This window comes from Homo sapiens, chromosome 12, assembly GCF_000001405.40.
Source record: "Homo sapiens chromosome 12, GRCh38.p14 Primary Assembly".
NCBI lineage: Eukaryota > Metazoa > Chordata > Mammalia > Primates > Hominidae > Homo > Homo sapiens.
The window spans coordinates 92,015,062-92,039,750 of record NC_000012.12 but is presented as its reverse complement, the minus strand read 5'-3'; the positions used below and the strand labels follow the sequence as shown (position 1 = coordinate 92,039,750).

The 24,689-nt window shown below is 38.1% G+C and overlaps 1 long non-coding RNA gene across 5 annotated transcripts in view, besides 4 other annotated features; it reads left to right on the top strand.

Moving 5' to 3' along the window:
* The window catches only part of LINC01619 (long intergenic non-protein coding RNA 1619), a 157,856-nt gene that overhangs the window by 103,081 nt on the left and 30,086 nt on the right, over window positions 1–24,689 (top strand). The gene's annotated exons all lie outside the window — the stretch shown is intronic.
* Window positions 4,451–4,760: an enhancer, noted in NCBI's record as "active region_6718". NCBI's record gives its function as "activates an Ori minimal core promoter by ATAC-STARR-seq in GM12878 lymphoblastoid cells {active_cell/tissue: GM12878}" and the evidence as "EXISTENCE:reporter gene assay evidence [ECO:0000049][PMID:35858748]".
* Window positions 4,451–4,778: a biological region, named in NCBI's record as "Sharpr-MPRA regulatory region 2068".
* Window positions 4,484–4,778: an enhancer, noted in NCBI's record as "tiled region #2068; HepG2 Activating DNase matched - State 2:TssF". NCBI's record gives its function as "activates a minimal TATA promoter and a strong SV40 promoter by Sharpr-MPRA in HepG2 cells {active_cell/tissue: HepG2}" and the evidence as "EXISTENCE:reporter gene assay evidence [ECO:0000049][PMID:27701403]".
* Window positions 17,654–18,187: an enhancer, noted in NCBI's record as "NANOG hESC enhancer chr12:92415340-92415873 (GRCh37/hg19 assembly coordinates)". NCBI's record gives its function as "activates a minimal SCP1, AML or CMV promoter by ChIP-STARR-seq in naive H9 embryonic stem cells {active_cell/tissue: H9 hESC(naive)}" and the evidence as "EXISTENCE:reporter gene assay evidence [ECO:0000049][PMID:30033119]".

The following is a 24,689-nucleotide window of genomic DNA, read 5'->3' as shown; positions in this document are numbered from 1 at the left end:
CCTATCTCAATAGTAAGTACTCACATACAGTATTTTTATCATATAGTAAATACAATAATAAATAGATTACATAATAATACTTAATACACATAGCTACCGGCTATAACAGTTGAACCTCAGTTTCCAGGATTACAAAATGAGATTTCTCTTAATTCTACTCCAGGGCTTTGAAAGACTTTACTTATGAATGATTTAATATATATAGAATTGACTGAATGTTGGATTTTTAATTATTTCTGCTTGATTCAGATTCTTGTGTAACCGCATGATTTTGAACAGCTACTGTTCTTCGAAAAAGAAAGTGGATTTAAAGGAGTATTTATATTGATGTATTGTTGGTTGTTGAAATGTAAATAGCCCTGAATGTGCCACTCACTGGGAAAGGACAGTGCTTTTCATAATGGACAAAATAGCCTTGTTTCACTTTAATAACCTGCTTGTGGTCAAACCAGTCATGGGATTCCTTCAACACAGCAGAATGCCTGCTATTGTCATTTACATATCAATGAGCAGACATTTCTCTGCTCATTGCTATTACACAGCACTGCCATTTCCCTAACTTGGGGACTGCGCTGAGTTTCTATGTGAAATGCACATGTCTTTTTCCTTCATCCAGACGCGCATATTCCAAGCATAGGAAACAGCTGCTGAGGCAGTTACACAACTTACCTATTGTGTATCTGTAGAAGTTGGAAGGGTAAGGAATACATTGCCCACCCCTAGAATCTTACGGATCTATATGTGTATATTTATTTTACAGAACTATGCTATGAACAATCATTCTGAGTTTCAAAGTTGTGCGCAGTAGGTGCGTAGGCTTAAATGAGAAAAAAGAATCCCGGCTTTGCTTACACAGGAAACTCTGACTTTAAAATTCAGAGGAAAGAGCCCCCAAAACTTGTTTCCTCTGCTTATTGCCTCATTCCTACCAATGCACTTTCCCAGAGTTAGAAATAGCCCTTCCATTTCACCGATTTGGAAATAAATGGCAGATTAGTCTCTCCCTTAGGGGCCACTGAGGGAATTGAGGTTGGATGCAGAGTGTGTGATTCTAGACTGATGCCCAGGGCAGCACAGGAAGTGAGGACTGCTAACCCAGGGATCAACCCTAGCCCTCTGTAATGAGTGCTAGCATCATGCTTTCAATAATCTTTTTAGGTGACCTTAATCGCTGCTGCTGAATTAAACAGTGGTTTCGCCCCAGAGCCCGGATTTGGGCATGGATTTTTTACTCAGACCAGTTCAGGGGGAACACAAAGCTGAGGAAACAAAGTCTCTGTCACCTTATCATGTCAGTGGCACCTGTCCTCCATACTGTGAAAGAACTGTTTTGGGTAAATACCTATGTGTTCCCAGATTTTTTAAAATTGAAAATTGGTTATCAAGATCGTACTCATCCTTAGAAAAACTGTGAGGAACACACACTCATACCTCTACCCCCCACATCCATATGAAATAATATTGACCATGCTTGTTATCTACTTGGTACTGTTCTAGATTATGTCTAGGAATTAAATAATCTAACTCTCTCTCTCTCTTTGGATAGAGTCTCACTTTCTTGCCCAGGCTGGAGTGCAGTGGCATGATCTTGGCTCACTGCAACCTCTGCCTCTTGAGTTTAAATGATTATTTTGCCTCAGCCACTGGGGTAGCTGGGACTACAGGTGTGCATCACCACATTTGGCTAATTTTTGTATTTTTAGTAGAGATGGGGTTTCACCATGTTGGCCGGGCTGATCTCGAACTCCTGAGCTCAAGCAATCCACCTGTCTCAGCCTGCCAAAGTGCTGGGATTACAGGTGTGAGCCACTGCCCCTGGCCTAAATCATATAACTCTCTTCTCCAGCAATACAATGAGGCACATACTATTATTATCTAATTTTTCTATTCATCATCTGAGGCAAGGAAAGGTCTAGTAATTTACCCATAGCAGGAGCATAAATGTGAAAAGCACATATCTATCTCCTTCATGCAGAGATACATATACTAACAGGAGGCAACCGCTGTTGACGCAGTTAGCCAACTTCTCTATTATGTATTTGTAGAAGCTGTGATGGTATGAGATAAATTGCTCACCCCTACTGTCTTACTTAGAGATAGTATAAGGTGGAGATATTAATGATAAGAATAAAAATTAGCATTAACTGAGTGCTTCCTAGGCCAGGCCAGCACTCTTCTGTGGGCTTTATGTGTATTATCTTATTCCTCACAAGGCCCAAGGAGAGAGTTATTCTGACGCTCATTTCAGGGCAACAATATCTAAGGCAGACAGAAGTTAAATACTTTGCACCGAGTCATACATCTAGGAAGTAGGAGAGCAGGAATTTGAACTCCTGAATTTGTGTGCTTAACCACTAATCAGTAGTTCCTTTGGATGGTAAAACTCTTCCTCTAGGCCTCTGGGAGATTGGTATGGGTCTCCACAGTGTGCTGGAAGCCACGGATATGAGTTAACCTATCAAGTTGCTTCTTTCTCTGCCAAACCTCAGGATCTTCCCAGTCCCTCCTTCTCATATCTCATTGCCTCTGTCCCACGCTTTCCTTTCCAGTGTTCCATTTCTTTAAGAGCTGGCTTGGGCTTGTTGGCAAAGGGCCAATCTGAGAACCTATTTCATAACCACATATAGTGAGAGCAAGTGAGTTAATATGTTCCAGATACTTACATATTTTTGGAATAGAATCTAACCAATATAATCAAAACTTATTATCATTCACAGGCAACAATCATTCTTTTATTCATTCAATAAACATTGAGTGTCTGTGATGGCCTGGGCACTGTGATAGGTCAACATTAGCATTTGTGACAGGAGAATTTTGGAAATGCAGTGCCCCATTCATTGGAGTGACTTTATGGTGGAAGCCACGGGCACATTGGCAAGCCGGCTTTTTGGCCCCTCTCAAGTCCGTTAACTCAATGGCCATTAACTCTGCTTATTTCAGTGGCTGGTCTCGCTGGCACCACTGCTAAAAAAAGTGACAGAATTTAATTCCATTATAAAAAAAAAAAGAAGACTTCATCTGGGGTTAGATGAATTTTTTCAGATATAGAGGATGCCATTTTTCTGACTGGGAATGTAAAATGTATGTAATAGAACTTAAGTGACCTGTAATTCAGCTTCACAAGAGAAGTTTACATTGGTTTCCGTGATGGGACTGGGACAATGTCTTTGTAGTTGTTAGTATTTTGGTCAGTATTTTTAAATAACTGGGTTTTTCTTTTCTCTGTTTCTTGCCGGTTAGCAAACCTATTTCTTTGGCCAGGCCTTGCCACTGCTGCACTGTTTCATTTTTTCTAACAGAACCTTGTCCTTATAGGTCAGGCAGGGTGACCATCATCTGCAAGCACTTTGTCCTCTCTGACTTCAAAACAACCAATTTATGATGACACGGACAAGTCAGGAGACTCAGAGCTAAAACGAACAGGATTTTGTAGATCTAATGAAGACTCTGTCAGGCCTCATTTTGATCTGGTTAATGAGGATCTGATTGAATTTGCCATCGTGAGGTCTTCTGGGCCAGTAAACGATTTCCCTTATTTTTCTGCACAGAAACAAGGATGAGGGCGAGTTGTCAGTGTAAGCATTTGTATGTCATAAGTTGTCAGACATCATGCATTTGGTGGATGATTTGCTAGGTCATCTCAGAGAGATCATTTAATCTTCTTGTGTTTTAGTTGTTTACATCTGTGAAAGCATAATTACACATATGGGGCTTCCAAGGAAAGTTTTATTAGTGAAAATATGTAAGGTGTATTAATTTGAGGGGCTTTTGCAAAAGAGCTTTGCATCACTTTTTGCTAGACAAAGTGTCATCTTGAGGCGGTATAGAAATTCGATGGCAAGATAGTCTGAGAAAAAGTGCTTGCCAAGGAAATATCAGATCTGAAGGAAGGGAGGGGTCATTCCTGGTATTCCATGCATTTGGAGGTGACTTCTGACAGGGCTTGTTGGTACAGTATTTTCTCTGAGAGAAAAACTGAAATCATAAGAACACCATTTGGGAGCCCAAATTCAATGTATCCACAATTAAAAAAGACAAATTCTTATATGCTCAGCTTCAGATTATGAATTACCAATAACATCTTGATGGTTTTGTTCTTTTGCTTTGAGGGGACTTTGGTGCTGAAAACACTCAAAACTCTGCTTTTCACAGGCAGCACGTAAACAACAGCAAACCTGGAAGATGTTAGTCCTTCAAGATGTGCAGGTTAGCACACTCTGGTTTCATTGTACTCTCTTATGATCCAGTAGCCTCAGATCCCCCAGACCAGGTATACTTTTATAAATACATACAGAACCAATCAATATTTATTTTTGGGTCACTAAAACTATTCTAGCAAATTCCTTAATAAGGTCTCTAGATGAAAATACATCTGAAACCAAAGAATAGTTTTGCTTTCACAACTTCCAGTTCCGATATTTTAAAACACTGATTTAAACCTTTTCATATGTAACAAGTGAGACTCGGGGGGGAACCCTGTATTTCACCTTGCTGCTTACCCACTCTCTTTCTCCTCCTTCCTCCACCCCCTTGAAACTGCAAGCATGAATTCTGTTGCTTTCATCTGTGTGAATTTCCCGTTGGCAGTGCCCCAACTCTCGGAATCATTCTGTTTCCCCCAAGGGAATCAGCAGATGTTCCTTGTGTGATTGATGTACCGTGTGCTGTTCGGCTTTGCCTGGGCTTGTCCACGTGTCCTCCAAAAATGTAAACAGAGGCGCTGCAACTGTGCCTCAAAGTGGCAGGCAGGGCGGCAAGTCGGTAACAAAACCAAACAAATGCAGGAAATGTTGCTCCTTCCTGCAGTATGTGCAGGAGGGTGGCTCTCTCATGATACAGTTCTAGCTGTAGTATCTGAACAAGGTGGGTTCTATGGTGTAAAAAGTCACTTGTTAAGTGCTGTGACAATTTGTCAATCTGTGTTACTTCACACTGAAAAAATTCCCAGCAATGTCATTTCTGCCAGTATCACGGGAAATAGTTATGTAGTTAAAGTTTTAAAAGCTAAGTTCACTGCATATTGTTTATAATAGTTCAAAAGTGGGATGGAATTAAATGTGTAACAAGAATTTGGTTAAAAAAATCATGATATGTGTCTGTTTATATCTCTTCCAGATATATCTATTTTTACCATTTAAAATGAGGGTGTAAAACAGTGGCCTTAAAAATTTTTGATTGTGGGCACCCTTGGGGAGCTCAATAAAAGCTGTGAACCATCTCCCTAGAAAAATCTCCATATGCTCAACATTTTCATGTAATATAAAGAGATTTAAACAGGAACCTGTCTATCACTCAAAGGTTAAGAACTCCTAGTATTAAGAATTTAGTAGAAATAATATTTAATAATTTAGATATATGGAGTAGTGGAACAAGCAAGTTATAAAAGTATGATTCAGCCAGGTGCAATGGTTCATACCTGTAATCCCAGCACTTTGGTTGGCCAAGGCGAGAGGATCACTTGAGCCCAGGAGTTTGATAACAGCCTGGGCAGACTCTGTCTCTACTAAAAAAAAAGAACTAGGTGTGGTGGCAGCATGCACCTGTAGTCCCACATACTCTGGAGGCTGAAGTGGGAGGATTGCTTGAGCCCAGAAGTTCAAGGCTGCAGGAAGCCACTGCACTCCAGTCTGAGAAACAGAGCCAGCCCCGTGCCTCAAAAAAAATAAATAAATAAAAATAAAAAAAAGACTATGATCACATTTTTGTAAAAATAACCCCACCATATATAGTTAAAAAAAAGGGGTGGGGGCTTTGAAAAGCTGAACATTTAGATGCTAATGATGGCTTCTCTGGGGATGATAAGTTTTCTCTGCAAGTCTTCTTTTCTCTTTCCCTTCCTCCCTCCCTCCTTTCTTCTTCTCTTTCTTCATTCATGTCTCCCTCTCTCCCTTCTTCTCCTTGTTTTCCCTTATTTGTATCTTCTAACTTTTCTACAATTAAACAAAAACTACCTTTATGAAAAGAAATATGTCATGTAAGTTTGTTTTAATTAAACAAAAATGCTGTAATCAGCTTTGGCAAGTATGTTAGAACATCTGGGGACATTTCCAGCACCCCTCTTCATTCACCGCATGGTGAAACACTAGGAAGAAGTCACATTAGAATGAAGGGACACTATTTCTGAGTGAGACATGGTTAGGGCCATATAAAAAGAAAGCAGTTAGATAGATATATTTTCAACATAAAATACAGATAAAACATATTTAAAAGAGTCAAAATGAATCAAAATAAATACGTGCCCAAACCATATGTGGTGACCAAAAAGGGCCAGCTACATGTAAACTTTAGCTTGACATCAAGAACATTTCTATTCTTGGAACGTCCTTTGGTGATACCTATGGCAAGTCAACATCTTAAGGGGTTATGAATCCAATATTCCTATTTCTTTCACCTTAGAAGGGAGAAGTTGTTCCATCTTTGCAGACCTTGTTCTCTCAGTTTGAAGGTGAAGTTTGCATTTCATCTGTTTCTTGGCAACTATCTTTAAGAAAACAAAAGTTAAGTTTTGGACTGCAAGTATATCTGCTTGGCATTCATGCTCTCTTTCTTGAGTAACAGGCCCCCCTTATCTTCTTCGGGTCACTCCCTTCTCCCTTTTTCAATTCTGTGGGTTTAGTGTGGCTGGCATCACCCTCCAGCTCCAGGTTGAGCACACGACTCAAGCTTGGTCAGTTTGAGTTCTCCCTCTCTCTCTTCCTCTCTATCTCTCTGCCACAGTGATTGGTCAGAGATGGAAGGGCATATGATCCAATAAATGAGGTATAGAGAGCGAGCTTTTGATAGGGCCAAGGTTTCTCAGGTGGGAAAATATAAGTGTAGAATTGTTCTGAAAAAAGGCTGCAGAAGAATGAAGGCAAAACAGCAAAACAAAGGCACAAGATGGAAGAAGGTGGGGAAAAAGATTCGGGTGAGCATCAAGACCTGGGGCTTCATTTCAGTGCCCAGGTCCATATGTGCCTGAATCTAACTTGCCGTTGAAGTTTTCAATCATGTGGGGCAACAATTTTCCTTTTATGTTTAGGTCAGTTTGACTGAGATCGGTTTTACTTACAATCAATTGAGTCCTGATTAATATACTGATTTAGTAATAATAATAATACTTACTGAGTATGTCTTAAGTGACAAAACTTGTATACAACCTTTATATGCATTCTCTTATTTAATTATCACAATAGTTCTTTTTAAGAAAGGAAACAGGTTCAGAAAGGTTAATTCACTTTCATAAGATCCCTTGATGAGTAGAAGTAGACCCAGATGAAAACCAGATATGTCTGATTCTAAAATTCTATGCTCAACCAGCTATCAACTAAGCAGTGATACTTGATAGAAGTTAGGCCTGACAGCTCCTGGATTGCACATCTTAAGCCTTCATTTTTAACTGCAGTTTACAAAGGGACTCACTGAGGATGAGAAATGAGTATTTACTAAGCATGGCTATTTTTAGGCATTAAACTTACTTCATTTCCTTGTTAGTGCCTCCTTTCATTATTATTATTTTTTGCTTTCCGAGACTAGACAATGTTTAACAGAAGAATCCCAACCAGCTTCTGTGCCTTCATTCAGTTTGGTGGAAACCAATTTACCTGATGCAAACTAATTTAATCTATAACTGCTTGGGGGCTCACTTCAGCTGTAAACAAGTAGACCTGGAGATTAAGCATGGTTCCTTTAAGAATCAAGGAAGAACTAATGCACACTCCCACCAACAGTGTAAAAGCATTCCTATTTCTCCACATCTTCTCCAGCATCTGTTGTTTCCTGATTTTTTAATGATCACCATTATAACTGGCGTGAAATGGTATCTAATTGTGGTTTTGATTTACATTTCTCTAATGACCAGTGATGATGAGCTTTTTTTCATAGGTTTATTGGCCACATAAATGTCCTCCTTTGAGATGTGTCTGTTCATATCCTTCGCCTGCTTTTTGATGGGGTTGTTTGTTTTTCTCTTGTAAATCTGTTTAAATTCCTTGTAGATTTTGGATATTAGCTCTTTGTCAGATGGATAGATTGCAAAAATTTTCTCCCATTCTGTAGGGTGCCTGTTCAACCATTGTGGAAGACAGTATGATGATTCCTCAAGGACCTAGAACCAGAAATACCATTTGACACAGCTATCCCATTACTGGGTATATACCCAAAGGATTATAAATCATTCTACTATAAAGACACATGCACACGTATGTTTATTGCAGCACTATTCACAATAGCAAAGACTTGGAACCAACCCAAATGCCCATCAATGATAGACTGGATAAAGAAAATGTGGCACATATACACCATGGAATACTATGTAGCCACAAAAAGGATGAGTTCATGTCCTTTGCAGGGACATGGATGAAGCTGGAAACCATCATTCTCAGCCAACTAATACAGGAACAGAAAACCAAACACTGCATGTTCTCACTCATAATTGGGAGTTGAACAATGAGAACACATGGACACAGGGAGGGGAACATCACACACTGGGGCCTGACATTGGGTGGGGGTTCCAGGGGAGGGATAGCATTAGGAGAAATACCTAATGTAGATGGCAGGTTGATGGGTGCAACAAACCACCACGGCACTTGTATACCTATGTAACAAACCTGCACATTCTGCACAGGTATCCCAGAACTTAAAATACAATAATAAAAAAAAAGAATATAGGAAGAGTGCCAGGGTTACTTTGGCACTCTTCCTATATTGGTATGTTGTTATCAACCCAGAGTGAGCTTTCTTTTCATTAATAAGGTGAAAATAAAGAGGTGTATCAGTTCTGCACTGCTCCTTTCTCAGGCAGGGTTTTCTTAACTCTTCATAGAACAGAAACGTTCTCTCTTGAAGATTGAAGACAAAGGTAAACACTTGCCTGGGAAATATGGTTTTTGACTCTAGCTTTGAGGTTCATGCTGTACTCAGAACATCCTGTTCTTCTCAACTGACTGTGATGTGGTAGATAGCAGTCCCTCCCGGGCTGTTAACAGCTGAGCTCATTTTTCATAGATGCTGCTCAGTGAGGCTGAGGAAATGGGCCACTGCTGCTTCCTCCTTTGTCACTCTTACCATTAAGGATGGGTACTCCCGGTTTCTTTGAGAAGGCACTTGCCATCTTCTCTTAAATTAGATCTTTAATTCCTTTGAGATATTTGGCAAACTTAGATAGTACTGGAAGCTTAGTGAGTGGAAAAGAAATCTCAAAAAATCATTTGTTTAGCATAGGAGAAAGCTACTCTGTTGAACCCTGCTGTGATAGAGTTAGGAAACGAAGAGTGGCTTCTGGGAAAAGGTGTAATAAAGCCTGATACTGAGAAAAGACAGCATTAGTAAAGTCATCCAGCTTTTTAGGAACTGGAATTTCTGACTTCTCAATGACCCCTTCAGTAAGAGCTGGAGAAGTGGCTTTTTGTGCAACAGATATGTTAACTTCCGAATAAACCTGTGTTTAGTAATCACATCTATCACAAACACACAAATGTAATAAGAAAAAAAGTTTCATTTCTGTGGTCAGGAACCTGATGCAAAATTATTCCATTGCATTTGGAGATTATAAAGGCATAAGTGGAATAGGGGTGGCTTCTGCTGGTCACCAGCAAAGGAAGCTGTTTCCCTTCTGCCTCCTCTGCTGTGTTGCAAAGTGTCTGCTTTGTCATCCAGGAGATGGACAACAGTGGTGTCTGTTTTTTGGATGGCATTTGTTAGAGAGCATAAGGTATGTCCTGTGACTCTGCTTCTCACTGGGCAGTTCCAAAACTTGCCTTAGCATTGGAATAATGAAACTGCTTTAATAAGAACAGTGAGATCCTTTGTCAAACCCAGACCGGTTGAAAAGAAACACATAAGAATAAGGCCTGTCCATCTATAATTTTACACAGGTTATTCATACTATAATTAACCAGGGAGTCACTACTCTTGTCTTGCCTCATTGGGCTGGATAAATTAATCAATCAAATTAGCAACTTTTGCCACGCATTCATTAGGATGTGTAGACATGACTCCAGGGCAGGCCAGTCTTCAACTAGGAGCAGTGGGTAGGGAATGGAAGGTGACAATTAGAAGGATATGCCAAGGCTGAGCCAATGTAAGGAGCATTGAGGCATCATATAGGAAAGCCCAATATAAGATGAAAAGGATTCCTGGGATGTTCGTCTGCATGGATTTTAAAGACTGGGTTGTTAAAAGAACAGAGAGTGGCAAAGCCCACTTTGCTTCATTCAAGTTAATCAACATATCTCATTTCCATCTGGCCATAATGCTCACCATTTTTATGGTAATCATCATGGTCAGCAATCAGAGATGTGTGTTAAAACCCCATTCCTTCCAAACAGAGATGTGAAACAGAGGAAATCTAAGTCAGATATTTCAATGCAACATGTATGTAGGTGGTAGTGTAGTCTCCCTTTTACACCTAAGAGAGCACATCACATGCCCATTGACTCATTCCGTTATTTAATTAACCATCATTTATGGTTGAGCAGAACCAGTACTAATCAGGCATGGTGCCACATAGTGGGGAACAAATGAACATCTATTTTGCCCTCTAGATAGTCACAGATCCATGGATACATAAGAAAAGATGGAAGAAAGAAAAGGGCCGGCTCTCACTGGGGAGGAGAAGAAGGTGTGCTAGAGAAGGTGATGCCTGAACAAGGTGTTTAAGAATAAAACAGAGATTCCCCTGGGAAATGAGCACAGTCTTCTTAGACAGAGGCAATAGCTTGGACAAAGGCACAAAGTGGCCTGGTGGGCCTGAAGAAGTCTGTGTAATTTGCTATGACAGTGTGAGAGGGAAAAGTGGTGGGATGTGATCTGCTGATTTGGCAGCATCCAAATCATGCAGGGTCTTGAATGTTTCTGCTTCTGTTCTAAGGTAAAGAACTTGGCACAATCCAAAGACCTGAGCTCATAAACACACAGCAGAGGAGAACAGAGGCTACTCAGTTAAAGACACAGAGGAGTATCAACTAATTCTTGCGTTCATTTTGCACACACCTTGAGATTGGGTTTGTAGGAGTCTACCTCTCAGAGAAACTGGGTATTATAATAATACAGCAACTCATAACTTTTAGAGAACTGCTATATATTTTTCCTTGACTGCAGAATATGTTTTGAAAAAATGAATACCATTTCTAGCTTTAACTTTAAGATGCCTTAATTTGAGAGACCATTAGTCATGAAGGTGTTTCCATAGCAAATGTGTGTGGGATGTCCTAGCTTTGTTGGCAATGGTTCAAGGGAACTTATATCATTAAATTGGGATGAGGCCTGGCATGATGGTTAGAAAATTCATGGCACTGTTCCCATAGCACACGAGGCCTCCATTTAAGGGCAAGATAAAGGAAAGGCAAAGACCAAGAGGAGAAATGCTGGAATGAAAACAAGTAAAAAACGGAAGATAAAAATGGAAATCACAGTTCAGTGTGAATAATAGGAATGCAAATGGTACTACTAAAATAGGAAGGAACATTACTTTTCAAAAAGGCAAAGCAAAGGAAAATTGTAGTAGCAAAAGCATTTTGCATGGTAAAATTGTACACTGTGTATGCCTGTAAGAAGCAAAGCCACCTACTCTAATTTTTCCCAGCTCGATGCTGTGAATTTGGTGAGTCATTTTATGAAGGTTTACTATAAAGCCCCAATCTGCATATTTTTAAAAATAATACTCTTGGATTAAATCTTCTTTTTCCCAGCAGCTGCCTACTAATGGTCCCATTTTATAGACAAAATTTTTCACCTGGGCTAGTAAGTAACACACTTTTAAAAAAAAAAATCAGTAAGTTTATGGAATAACCCCTAGGGCTTACTGCTAAGTAAGAAAAAGTCATGGTGAAAAAAAATGTGTCCACCATGCTACTATTTAACTAGGAATCTGAATACAAATTTGCTTATGCTAAAAGCAATTGCAGGAAACGATTATTTATGGAGGAGGGTGGAAACCAGGTGGTGGGGGACAGGATTCACAGCTAGATATGTCTGAATCTATTTTGTTTTTGTTTTGAATTCAAAAGCATATAAATGTTTAACACGACTATAAAAAATAATCATGAAACAAAGCAATCTCTGAAATTTGAAAGCGAAATGACATGAATGAACCTAAGTCTCAAATTAGTGGCATACTCACAGAGAGGAATGATTTCAAATGATACAGTATGTAGATATCTCCTAAGAAAAAGAATTGTGAAACAATTTTACATTGTTTTTTAAAATTATTATTGATGATAGTGTTGTTACTGTTTACATCTGCCTGCCTGCCTTCCTGCTTTCCTTCTTTCCTTCCTTTCTTCCCTCCCTCCCTCTCTTTCTCTTTTCTCTCTCTCTCTTTCTCTCTCTCTGTCTCTCTCTCTCGTTCTTCTTGAGACTGTTGTGTGCATTATGGGATAAAGCAAGTGAAATTATGTTGGTATCAGGAACTAGGATTTTTGGTATGGAAGAAAGGTAATTTAGATTTAAGAGAAAAAACGTTTAAGTAAAAACCTTGTAGTCTTGGCCAGCTGTGGTGGCTCACACCTATAATCCCAACACTTTGGGAGGCCAAGGTGGGAGGATTGCTTGAGCCCAGGAGTTTGGGACTAGCCTAGGCAACACAGCAAGACCCCATTTCTACAAAAGAGATTTTTTTTTTAAATGGCTGGGCATGGTAGTGCATGCCTGTAGTTCCAGCTACTCAGAAGGCCAAGGCAGAAAGATCGCTTGAGCCCAGGATTTCAAGGTTGCAGTGAGCTGTAATTGGGCCACTGCACTCTAGCCTAGGTGATGGCCAGAACTTGTCTCAGAAAACAAAAACAGAGCCAAAAAGAAACCTTCTAGTCTTTAAATTATATTGTAATTATTAATTGAAATTGTGATGTATTTTAATGTAAAAATATAAATTCCCTGGCTCTATTGACTGAAAAGACTTAGCAATAATGACAAGGTAGGTAAAATGAGTATCTCTGGGTTCATTTACTAGGTTCAAAATCTAGTGCTCAGACTGTGAGCACTAAAAGGAACCTGGGATCTTTGGGCGAGAACTGATCACAGATCTGGGGCAGGAATTGTGTAACATGAACCTGGAATAATTTATCATACTGAAGGGCAAGAGAGCTAGCAGTGACTTTTGGGGCTATGTCTAAAACACTTTGGAGCCAGCTAGGGAAGCCTTTTTCTAGGCAAAGATGAGATGATGTGAGCCTCAATAAAATAATAATAACTACAAGAATTAAAACAATCAACTATGTTTTAACCTATAGTGTTTCCAAAACATACACACACACATGCACATGTGATTGAATAGTTAGTAATATTATATATTATTGTTAATCACCTCTAATTATGATAATGAATTGTGCTTAGATTTAAGGAAAAGTTCTTATTTCTGATTATATATGTATATATCAAATATATTCATCTTCATATATATTCATTCCTATATATATATTCATTTCATCTTCATGTATAAATTCATGTATATCTTCATATATACATATACATATGAAGATATACATAAGATGAAATGATGTGATGGCTTGGTTTTGCTTCAAAATAATCCAGTGGTGTGGGGGGGAATGGAATTAGATGGGGGTGTAAATAAAACAAGTTTGACTGTGAGTTGACAATTATTGAAGCAGAGTACATGGAGTTTATTATATTCTTTTTTCTTTTTTGAATTTTGAAATTTCAAAATATATTTGAAATTTTTCATATAAAAAGTTTAAATAAATAAATTGCTTTGCTCATCTCTCCCTGTAATCTGATGAGCCTGCTTTCCAGTGTATTTTCATGCCTCCATGGGAACTACTCAGTAAATGTTTGCAAGTCATCACGCTGCTGTTGTTGAAGATATTTCTCTAGCATTATTGAAGATTCTCATGGGGGATGAAAATTGAACAGATAGAGAAATGAATTCTAGGCGTAATTCAAGTCACTTAGTGGGTAACTCCTTTTGGACAGTTATGAGCTTTCAGACTTGAACATTTGATGTTTGGAGTTCTAAAAGAGACTCCCGTCTCAAAGCGAAAGACAGTAGTCTTCTTATCTAGGAGTAATACTTCTATGAACCACAAAGAAACAAAGTTTCTGAACTCAACTGGTCATGAAAATTGGCATGATGTGGTCTCATGACTGATTACATCCTCAATTGCAGGAAGACTCAATTGCTAATTATTTTACCATAAAGCAGTTGAGCTCATGACTATCTTTGGTCAGTAAGTATTTGTAATTCTTTACTAGCAAACTCCATGCTTCAGTGTATGGCATTAAGTCACTCTGAGATATTTGCTGTCATGCTGAAGGTTTTAATGTGTATAATCTTTCATTTATGTGGTACCTTTTCTTGTATTATTGATATTTTTCCTCTCAATTTATTTTTTCTGAAACAATAATTCAGATCTCTGATCTCCTGTGTATAATCCTATAATTGTGTTTTTTCCCCCCATTTGTTGTATTTTCCATCTCTGTTATTTCGATCTAATTTCTGGGCAATTTCTACAACTTTATGTTTCTAATTCTACCTACTTAAAAAATTCTGGTCAATCAGAAAGAATCCTTTCATATATTTCTCATGGTCTCTTTAAAAAATAGCATCTTATTCTTGTTTGATTTGTTTTGTGGATATAATATCTTTTTATATTTCTCTGAGGTTATAATATTTATTTATTTATTTATTTATATTTAGGGAGTACAAGTTTCTCACATGCATATATTGTATGTGAAGTGGTGAAGTCTGGGCTTTCAGTGTACCCGTCACCCAAAGAGTGAACATTGTACCCAATATGTAGTTTTGCAACCCTCACCCCCTCCTACCCTCCCACTTTTTGAAGTCTCCAATGTCTATTATTTCCCTCTGTATGTTCACATGTACCCATTGTTTAGCTCCCACTTATAAGTGAGAACATGCAGTATTTAACTTTCTGAGTTATTCACTGAGGATAATGGCCTTCAGTTCCATCCACGTTGCTGCAAAAGACATAATTTTATTCTTTTTTATGGCTGAGTAGTATTCCATGCCATATATATATATATATATATATAAAACATATATAAATACATACTTTATATACTTATATAAAAATGTATTTTTTATATTTATATAAAATGTGTGTATATATATAACTTCATTCAGTCTCCATTGGTGGACACTTAGGTTGATTCCATATTTTTGCTGTTGTGAATAGTGCTATGATAAACATATGAGTGTAGGTATGTTTTTTATATAATGATGTTTTCCCTTTGGGTAGATACCAAATAGTGAAATTGCTGGATTGAATGAAAGTACTAATTTTACTTATTTGAGAAATTGCTATAATGTTTTTCATGAAGGTTGTACTCATTTACATTCCCACCAATAGTATGTAAGCATTCCCTGAAAGTGTAACTTTTTAAGAGTTTTATTCTGCCCTTTGAATTATCTCTTTTCCCTCCGAGTTATATTATTTATTTATTTATTTATTTATTTATGTCTTTGCTTTTCATCTTGGTGGCGTACTTTAATACCTGGTAATCTTTGGTTGACTCTTCACAATAAGAATGATACTGTAAATAGCTGATCAAATGCTCTGTGTATGAGGCTGAGTCTTATTGACTGCTGAGTTTTCTAGTAACTAACTCATTAATTGGGGGCCCCCAAGGCTGATATGGCATAGGTATCATTCATTCAGAGAGGTACCAGGACTCTCAGAACGCACTGGTCATAAACAAATCATTCAAGAAGACTGTGTGTACAGACTGAATTCAAACTCAACAGTAGTTCTGTCTCTTAGACAGGATGGTTTCCTCAGAGAGGACTTCTCTAGTCTCCTGTCTTGGGTGAAATAGGAATAATAATCCCACCGTCAAATTTGGAGGGTTCTGGGAGGCCATTTTTTTTTTTATGTGTCCATGGATCTGTTGCCTAGGCTGGAATGCAGTGGTATGAACATGGCTCACTGCAGCCTCAACCTTTTGGGCTCAAGCAATACTGCCACCTCAGCCTCCCAAGTAGCTGAGACTACAGATACACACCATCATACTTGGCCGTTTTTTTTTTTTTAATTTTAATTTTTAGTAGAGATGGGGTCTCACTATGTTGCCCAGACTCATCTCTAACTCCTGGGCTCAAGACATCTTCCCGTCTCAGCCTCCCAAAGTGTTGAGATTACAGGCCTGAGCCACCATGCCCGGCTAGCGGGAGTTCTTTCCATAGGATTTCATTTAATCTATTAGCTGTGCTTCCTGTTCCTGGAGCTCAGAGCTTCTCAGATTTAATTTCTCCAGAATCATTACTTTTCTGTCTTCTCAGCTTAGTTAGAGGTAATCACCTAGATATTGGAATAAGGGAGGACACTTGGGGGTCTGATTGTTTTTTATTTAGTCAGACTTCCTTCTTCTTCTTCTTTTTTTTTTTTTTTTTGAGACAGGATCTGGCTCTGTTGCCCAGGCTGGAGTACAGTCAGTGGTGAGATCTTGGCTCACTGCAACTTCTGCCTCCCTGGCTCAAGTGATCCTCCTACCTCAGCCCCCCAAGTAGCTGGGACCTCAAGCGCATGCCACCACGCCTGGCTAATTTTTGTATTTTTGGTAGAGACGGGGGTTCGCCATGTTGCCCACGCTGGTCTCGAACTCCTGAGTTCAAGTGATCCACCCACTTCAGCCTCCCAAAGTGCTGGGATTACAGTAGTCAAACTTCCTTCTAAGAGTTCATTCTTCAGTTCTACCCTTTACCCTCACCTTCAGAGATACTCAGAGCCTCCAATTCCTAAGTCATTCTGGGTTTCTTTTGCACAAATTGTCTTGCTTCCTGTTGGCATGCCTCTCTTCAGGCATAAAATTTAGCCTTTTCAGATTTAGCAAATCAGTTACCACTTACACAGCTGCTTTCTTTATTCTTTCATTTCTTTTTTCTTTTCTTTTCTTTTTACCACACTTCATTTGCTGTCATTTCCTTTCCCATTCTTTTAGCTTTTATTGGTTTAAAATGTCTCTTTGTATGTGTGTGCATACCTGTGTACGTGTTTAATTTCCTTTTTTTTTTTTTTTTTTTTTTGAGACAGAATCTTGCTCTGTAGCCCAGGCTGGAGTGCAGTGGCGCAATCCCAGCTCGCTGCAAGCTCCACCTTCCGGGTTCACGCCATGCTCCTGCCTCAGTCTCTCGGGTAGCTGGGACTACAGGCACCCACCACCATGCCCGGCTAATTTTTTGTATTTTTAGTAGAGACGGGGTTTCACCGTGTTAGCCAGGATGGTCTTGATCTCCTGACCTCCTGATCCGCCCGACTTGGCCTCCTAAAGTGCTGGGATTACAGGCATGAGCCACCACGCCTGGCCTGTTTAATTTACTTTTAAGTTTTTAGTAGCACTCTAAAATAAAATAAAGTAAATATGTAGACTTAATCCATTAAGTTTAACCAGAAGTTTTACTTTTAAATTCTTAAAATATGCCTCCAACTATAATTAGTTTTTGACTATAGAGTTCATCAGCATTTATGTGTACACATATAATGTACACATTTATGTGTACACATATAATGTACACATTTATGTGTACACATATAATGTACACATTTATGTGTACACATCTTACACATGTAGCTCCCGTCCTCATATCTAAAATAAAAGCTGAAATTAAAGAAAAAAGATTTAAACTTAACTATATATATATTTTTTTCTTATCATGCTTTCTTATATCCCACATTTTTCTTTATCTTGGAATCTTAGTTTTGTTGGCATACATATTTGAATAACTTGTTCACATTTTAGTAGAAATTGATTCGGATTACAGGAGTTTATCTGCAGTGATCGTGGGGACAGGACAGGGCATTCTGCTAGGAGGAGGTTTCAGCTGGTCTCAAGGGTATCACTAGCTACTTGTGACAATGAATTGTCCCATCTCTTTGGTCTCAGAGCCCATGCTCATCTGTTTAGCCTGAGGGCAATTCCTGCTCTCTTTTGCTCAGCTTAGTCAGGAGGTAGGGGGGCTGGCTGATCAGCCTAGTCCCTCTAAATGCACTGCCCCAGTTAATCACTGTGACAATTGCTCCTTGACCTCCTAAGGCTGCCTGAAGTTCCCATAAGCACTCTCATCTCTGCACTCTCTCTCTCCTATGTGTTTTTTTCTGGTCTTTTTTTTTATGAAGAATTCAATCCTATCTGCTCTATATCTTTTATAAATATCTCAACATCTTTGATGTTGACACCACCCTTTCTTGTTTTCTAGTGCGTTACGAATGTATTTATTTATTTGATCATATCAGAGTAATTGGGGTGGGAAAGAACACGTGTTCAGTCTGCCCTTCTGCTCCTATTTTGAGACACACAGACCCCCCCACATGCAAACACACACAAATATTTAAACGTAGTGTCCCTGCTAACCAACTTGTCTGCTATTGTTCATTGTTTCAAAATGAAAATTTGATTTGGTCTTCCTTCCTTCCTTTGGTCTTGCCTTAAAAGAAAATCTGCTTATCCTTCTTTTTGTTTAGTATAATCCAACCTGTAGGTAAAAGTCTGTCTTTTTAGCCAGCCACAGATAAAAAACTAACAACAAAATCCTAGCTCTGATATTCATTTACTGTGAATACTCTGCCAAGTGGCGAAGAATGCATTTCCAGTATAGACTCCCCACTGGTACTAAAGGCATCTGCAAAGACATAGTCATATGAAAGAGAGCCAAAAACCTACAATGAAGTTAGTGTTGTGCATAACGATTTTCTTTAAATGTACTTATCTTAAAAGGACTCTGTATGTTCCTTCAGGGAGATGGAGACTTTCTCTTCCCACATTTTTAATTGGCAGTCACTCCATTTTCTGGAACTGCATTATGAAACTGTTGTTCAATACTTTAATCAGTACAAAGAAAAATTAACACTTTATTAGAAAGTTATGTTTTCTATAAAGTATATGATTTTAAAAGAGGTGTTTCCGTACTCATTCAGGTAAATTGTTCTCATTTATGGGCAACAATTATTGCTTCCACCATGAATTCCATCTCTGCAGTTAAAATGTAAAGCCTAAGAATATAAGTTAACTTATGACATTTTATTTTAGGGATTTCCCACATTAGAGTTAAGGGTAGAGTTAGTATTATCACATTGTATGTAATAAATGCATATCATAAAATATGGTTTACCTGAATTGATGTAATCCTTTTAGATTGAAGGAATGATGACTCTTCTTTCACACCCTGTAAGGAAACATATTCATAGTTGCAATGTCATTGTTTATGTAAATTCAGGAAATCTGATCACTATATAGACAACAGTATTTTGTAAAAAAATAAATAAAAAGGAATATTTACATATTTAATGTTTTTAACAACTTGAAGTCTGTATATCTGACTTTTGGGTTCTCAGCTAGACCATTTTTCTCTCAATCACGATTCATGTTCTGATACAGGTGTGATTCATGTGTACTTTTGGACGTTAGTTGGGGCCTCTTTTGCTGTGCATATTACAGTCATGACAGATGTCTCTGTCCTTGGAACATATGTTGAGTCTTATCTAGATTTTGGGGTAAATAATAAAAATGAGAACTAAAAGGCACAGAGAATTCTGCTGCTGCAAGAGATTTACCAGGCAAGTTATTCCATGTTTTTCATTGTTTACATGAGAAAACTTAGGCCTAGGAAAAGAAATCCCTTAAAATTAAATGCCTTAAAATCTCACAACTGGCTAGCACTAGCCATCGACCATAGAAGTGTACATCACTGGTAGGTGGAGTAGGTTTTTCAGCATCTCTCACTCCTGTTCCTGCCTCGAGCCAGATGATTCAAGTTAAGCTGATGCCAAATTTCAAGGTATCTAAAAATATTCTCAGCTCTAGAATGTGGATAATACATATTATATATCTGCTTTACTTTTGAAGAAATTTACACTTAAAATTTATTTTTCTTCTCTTTTTTTCTTAATCAACTATAGCTGAGCTTATTCTATGTGAGTATATAAAATAAATTAAGTTGCTATGGTAAATCTTTAATAACCACAGTATGGAGAGTACCGGAATTGGATAAAAATGTTTCTTGCCAAAGAACAAATACAGTAATATAATATTTATCATGAGTCCTTGAAAGAGTTCTGGTCTGTTAAACTTGGGTATTTATGTTTAAAAGCTAAACTGTTTTCTGGGTAAAATCAAACAATCCCACAAGTAAACAGTGAAGTAACTTAAGTAATCAACTGTGCTTTGTGTAAAAGCCATTTCTAGAGGTTCAATTAATGAAGAACAGATTTTTTTTTGTTTGCCATGTAACACTTGTAGTGGAAAGCTAGATTACTATATAGTTGATATGTTGCCTAAAGCATATTATTTTATTGTGTGTGTGTGTGTGTGTGTGTGTGTGTGAAAGAGAGAGTTTATAAGCAAATCACTACCTCTTTGGTAAATTAGTACTCATAAAAAAAGTAAAGGGTCTCATTGCAGCTTGGTTTGGAGGAAAGAGCACTGAATTAGAAAACTCAAGTTCCCCTTCTAACTCTCATGTTCCTACTTGTGTGATGCTAAGAAAGCCATTTGCCTTCTCAAAATCTCAGTTTCCTCATCTGTAAAAGCAAAGAGAATGACATTCCATTTCAAAACCCCTTCCCAGCCCTGAAGTTTCATAATTCTCTTCAATGAAATAAGTATTCTTACTTTGCTGATCCTAGATATTGTTTAGCAACAATAAGTGTCAGAATGATTTGTTACCGCATTTTCTTCTTGGAAAGAAATGCATGAGAAAGTATTCTGTCTTACAGGACACAGCCTATATTTAGAAATATTTTTCTTCATCAACCTAGCAAGCTTTATCTTCTTGGGGATTATTGGCAACTTTTTGGTTATTATAACTAAAATTTCAATTAGACCTCTTTACCACAATCAGTACACTATATAATAAAGATTTTTAATTGACTTTTTCTCCAAGAGGAATATAATAGTTCATACTCACCTATATATTCCTGTAATAGGTCCCATGAAGCAGGGATTATTTCTGCTTAGTTCACAATTTAACCCTAGAGTTTAGCATAGAGCACGGCATCTAGTATGTGTTCAATGAAGAAAGACATTTGGTTGAATCTACCCCACAGAAATACAAAAGAAGAAGGTGTTTATATTAGTTCAGAGGGAAATAGAAAATCTAGATGAAATGGGTAAATTCCTGGAAACATACAACCTCCCAAGATTGAATCAGGAAAAAAATCAAGACCTTGCACAGACCAATATCAAGTTCTGAAATCGAACCAGTAATAAAATACCTACCAACCAACAAAATGCTCCATACCAGATGCAGTCAAGCCAAATTCTACCAGATGTACAAAGAAGAGTGCGTACCAATTACGCTGAAACTATTCCAAAAAATCAAGGAGGAGAGACTCCTCCCTAACTCATTCTACGAAGCTAGCATCACCCTGATACAAAAACCTGGCAAAGATACAACAAATAAAGAAAACTAGAGGCCTATATCCTGATGAACACAGACACAAAAGTCCTCTACAAAATACTAGCAAACTGAATCCAGCTGCACACCAAAAAGTTAATTGACCATGAACAAGTAGGCTTTACTGCTGGGATGCAAGGTTGGTTCAACATACACAAATCATTAAACATGATTTACCATATAAACAGAATTAAAAACCAAAATCATATGATCATCTCAATAGGTAAAGAGACAGCCTTTGATAAAATCCAATATTCTTTCATGATAAAAACTCTCAAGAAACCAGGCATCAAAGGAACATACCTCAAAATAATAAGAGCTATTTATGAAAAACCCACAGTGCATTTCATATTGGTTGGGCAAAAGCTGGAAGTGTTCCCCTTCAGAAATGGAACAAGATAAGGATGCCCACTCTCACCATTCCTATTCAACATAGTACTAGAAGTCCTATCCAGAGCAATCAAGCAAGAGGAAGAAATAAAAGGCTTCTAAATAGGAAAAGAAAAAGTCAAACTCTCTTTGCTGACAATATGAATCTATACTTAAAGAACCCTAAAGACTCTGCTAAAGGGCTCCTGGAACTGGAAAACAACTTCAGCTGGTACCATTCCTTCTGAAACTATTCCAATCAATAGAAAAAGAGGGAATCCTCCCTAACTCATTTTATGAGGCCAGCATCATCCTGATACCAAAGCCTGGTGGAGACACAACAAAAAAAGAGAACTTTAGACAAATATCCTTGATGAACATTGATGCAGAAATCCTCAGTAAAATACTGGCAAACCGAATCCAGCAGCACATCAAAAAGCTTATCCACCATGATCAAGTGGGCTTCATCCCTGGGATGCAAGGCTGGTTCAACATACAAAAATCAGTAAACGTAATCCAGCATATAAACAGAACCAAAGACAAAAACCACATGATTATCTCAATAGATGCAGAAAAGGCCTTCGACAAAATTCAACAATGCTTCATGCTAAAAACTGTCAATAAATTAGGTATTGATGGGATGTATCTCAGTAAGAGCTATCTATGACAAACACAGCCAATATCATACTGAATGGACAAAAACTGGAATCATTTCCTTTGAAAACTGGCACAAGACAGGGATGCCCTCTCTCACCACTCCTATTTAACATAATGTTGGACGTTCTGGCCAGGGCAATCAGGCAGGAGAAGGAAATAAAGAGCATTCAATTAGGAAAAGAGGAAGTCAAATTGTCCCTGTTTGCAGATGACATGATTGTATATCTAGAAAACCCCATCGTCTCAGCCCAAAATCTCCTTAAGCTGATAAGCAACTTCAGCAAAGTCTCAGGATACAAAATCAATGTGCAAAAATCACAGCATTCTTATACACCAATAACAGACAAACAGAGAACCAAATCATGAGTGAACTCCCATTCACAAATGCTTCAAAGAGAATAAAATACCTAGGAATCCAACTTACAGGGGATGTGAAGGACTTCTTCAAGGAGAACTACAAACCACTGCTCAATGAAATAAAAGAGGATACAAACAAAAGGAAGAACATTACATGCTCATGGGTAGGAAGAATCAATATCATGAAAATAGCCATACTGCCCAAGGTAATTTATAGATTCAATGCTATCCCCATCAAGCTACCAATGACTTTCTTCACAGAATTGGAAAAAACTACTTTAAAGTTCATATGGAACCAACAAAGAGCCTGCAATGCCAAGTCAATCCTAAGCCAAAAGAACAAAGCTGGAGGCATCACGCTACCTGACTTCAAACTATACTACAAGGCTACAGTAACCAAAACAGCATGGTACTCATACCAAAACAGAGATATAGACCAATGGAACAGAACAGAGCCCTCAGAAATAATGTCACATATCTACAACTATCTGATCTTTGACAAACCTGACAAAAACAAGCAATGGGGAAAGGATTCCCTATTTAATAAATGGTGCTGGGAAAACTGGCTAGCCATATGTAGAAAGCTGAAACTGGATCCCTTCTTTACATCTTATACAAAAATTAATTCAAGATGGATTAAAGACTTACATGTTAGACCGAAAACCATAAAAACCCTAGAAGAAAACCTAGGCAATACCATTCAGGACATAGGCATGGGCAAGGACTTCATGCCTAAAACACCAAAAGCAATGGCAATAAAAGCCAAAATTGACAAATGGGATCTAATTAAACTAAAGAGCTTCTGCACAGCAAAAGAAACTACCATCAGAGTGAACAGGCAACCTACAGAATGGGAGAAAATTTTTGCAACCTACTCATCTGACAAAGGGCTAATACCCAGAATCTACCATGAACTCAAACAAATTTACAAGAGAAAAACAAACAACCCCATCAAAAAGTGGGTGAAGGATATGAACAGACACTTCTCAAAAGAAGACATTTATGCAGCCAAAAAACACATGAAAAAATGCTCATCATCACTGGCCATCAGAGAAATGCAGATCAAAACCACGAGATACCATCTCACACCAGTTAGAATGGCGATCATTAAAACATCGGGAAACAACAGGTGCTGGAGAGGATGTGGAGAAATAGGAATACTTACACTGTTGGTGGGACTGTAAACTAGTTCAACCATTGTGGAAGTCAGTGTGGCGATTCCTCAGGGATCTAGAACTAGAAATACCATTTGACCCAGCCATCCCATTACTGGGTATATACCCAAAGGATTATAAATCATGCTGCTATAAAGATACATGCACATGTATGTTTATTGTGGCACTATTCACAATAGCAAAGACTTGGAACCAACCCAAATGTCCAACAATGATAGACTGGATTAAGAAAATGTGGCACATATACACCATGGAATACTATGCAGCCATAAAAAATGATGAGTTCATGTCCTTTGTAGGGACATGGATGAAGATGGAAACCATCATTCTCAGCAAACTATCGCAAGGACAAAAAACCAAACACCACATGTTCTCACTCATAGGTGGGAATTGAACAGTGAGAACACATGGACACAGGAAGGAGAACATCACACACTGAGGACTGTTGTGGGGTGGGGGGAGCGGGGAGGGATAGCATTAGGAGATATACCTAATGCTAAATGACGAGTTAATGGGTGCAGCACACCAGCATGGCACATGTATACATATGTAACAAACCTGCATGTTGTGCACACGTACCCTAAAGCTTAAAGTCTAATAACAATAAAATTTTTTTAAAAAGTTTTAGGAAACAAAATCAATGTACAAAATCAGTAGCATTTCTAAACACCAATAACATTCAGGCTGATAGCCAAATCAAGAACACAATCCCATTTACAATAGCTATACATATGCTTAGGAATACATCTAACCAAGGAGGTGAAAGATCTCTGTAAGGAGAACTGTAA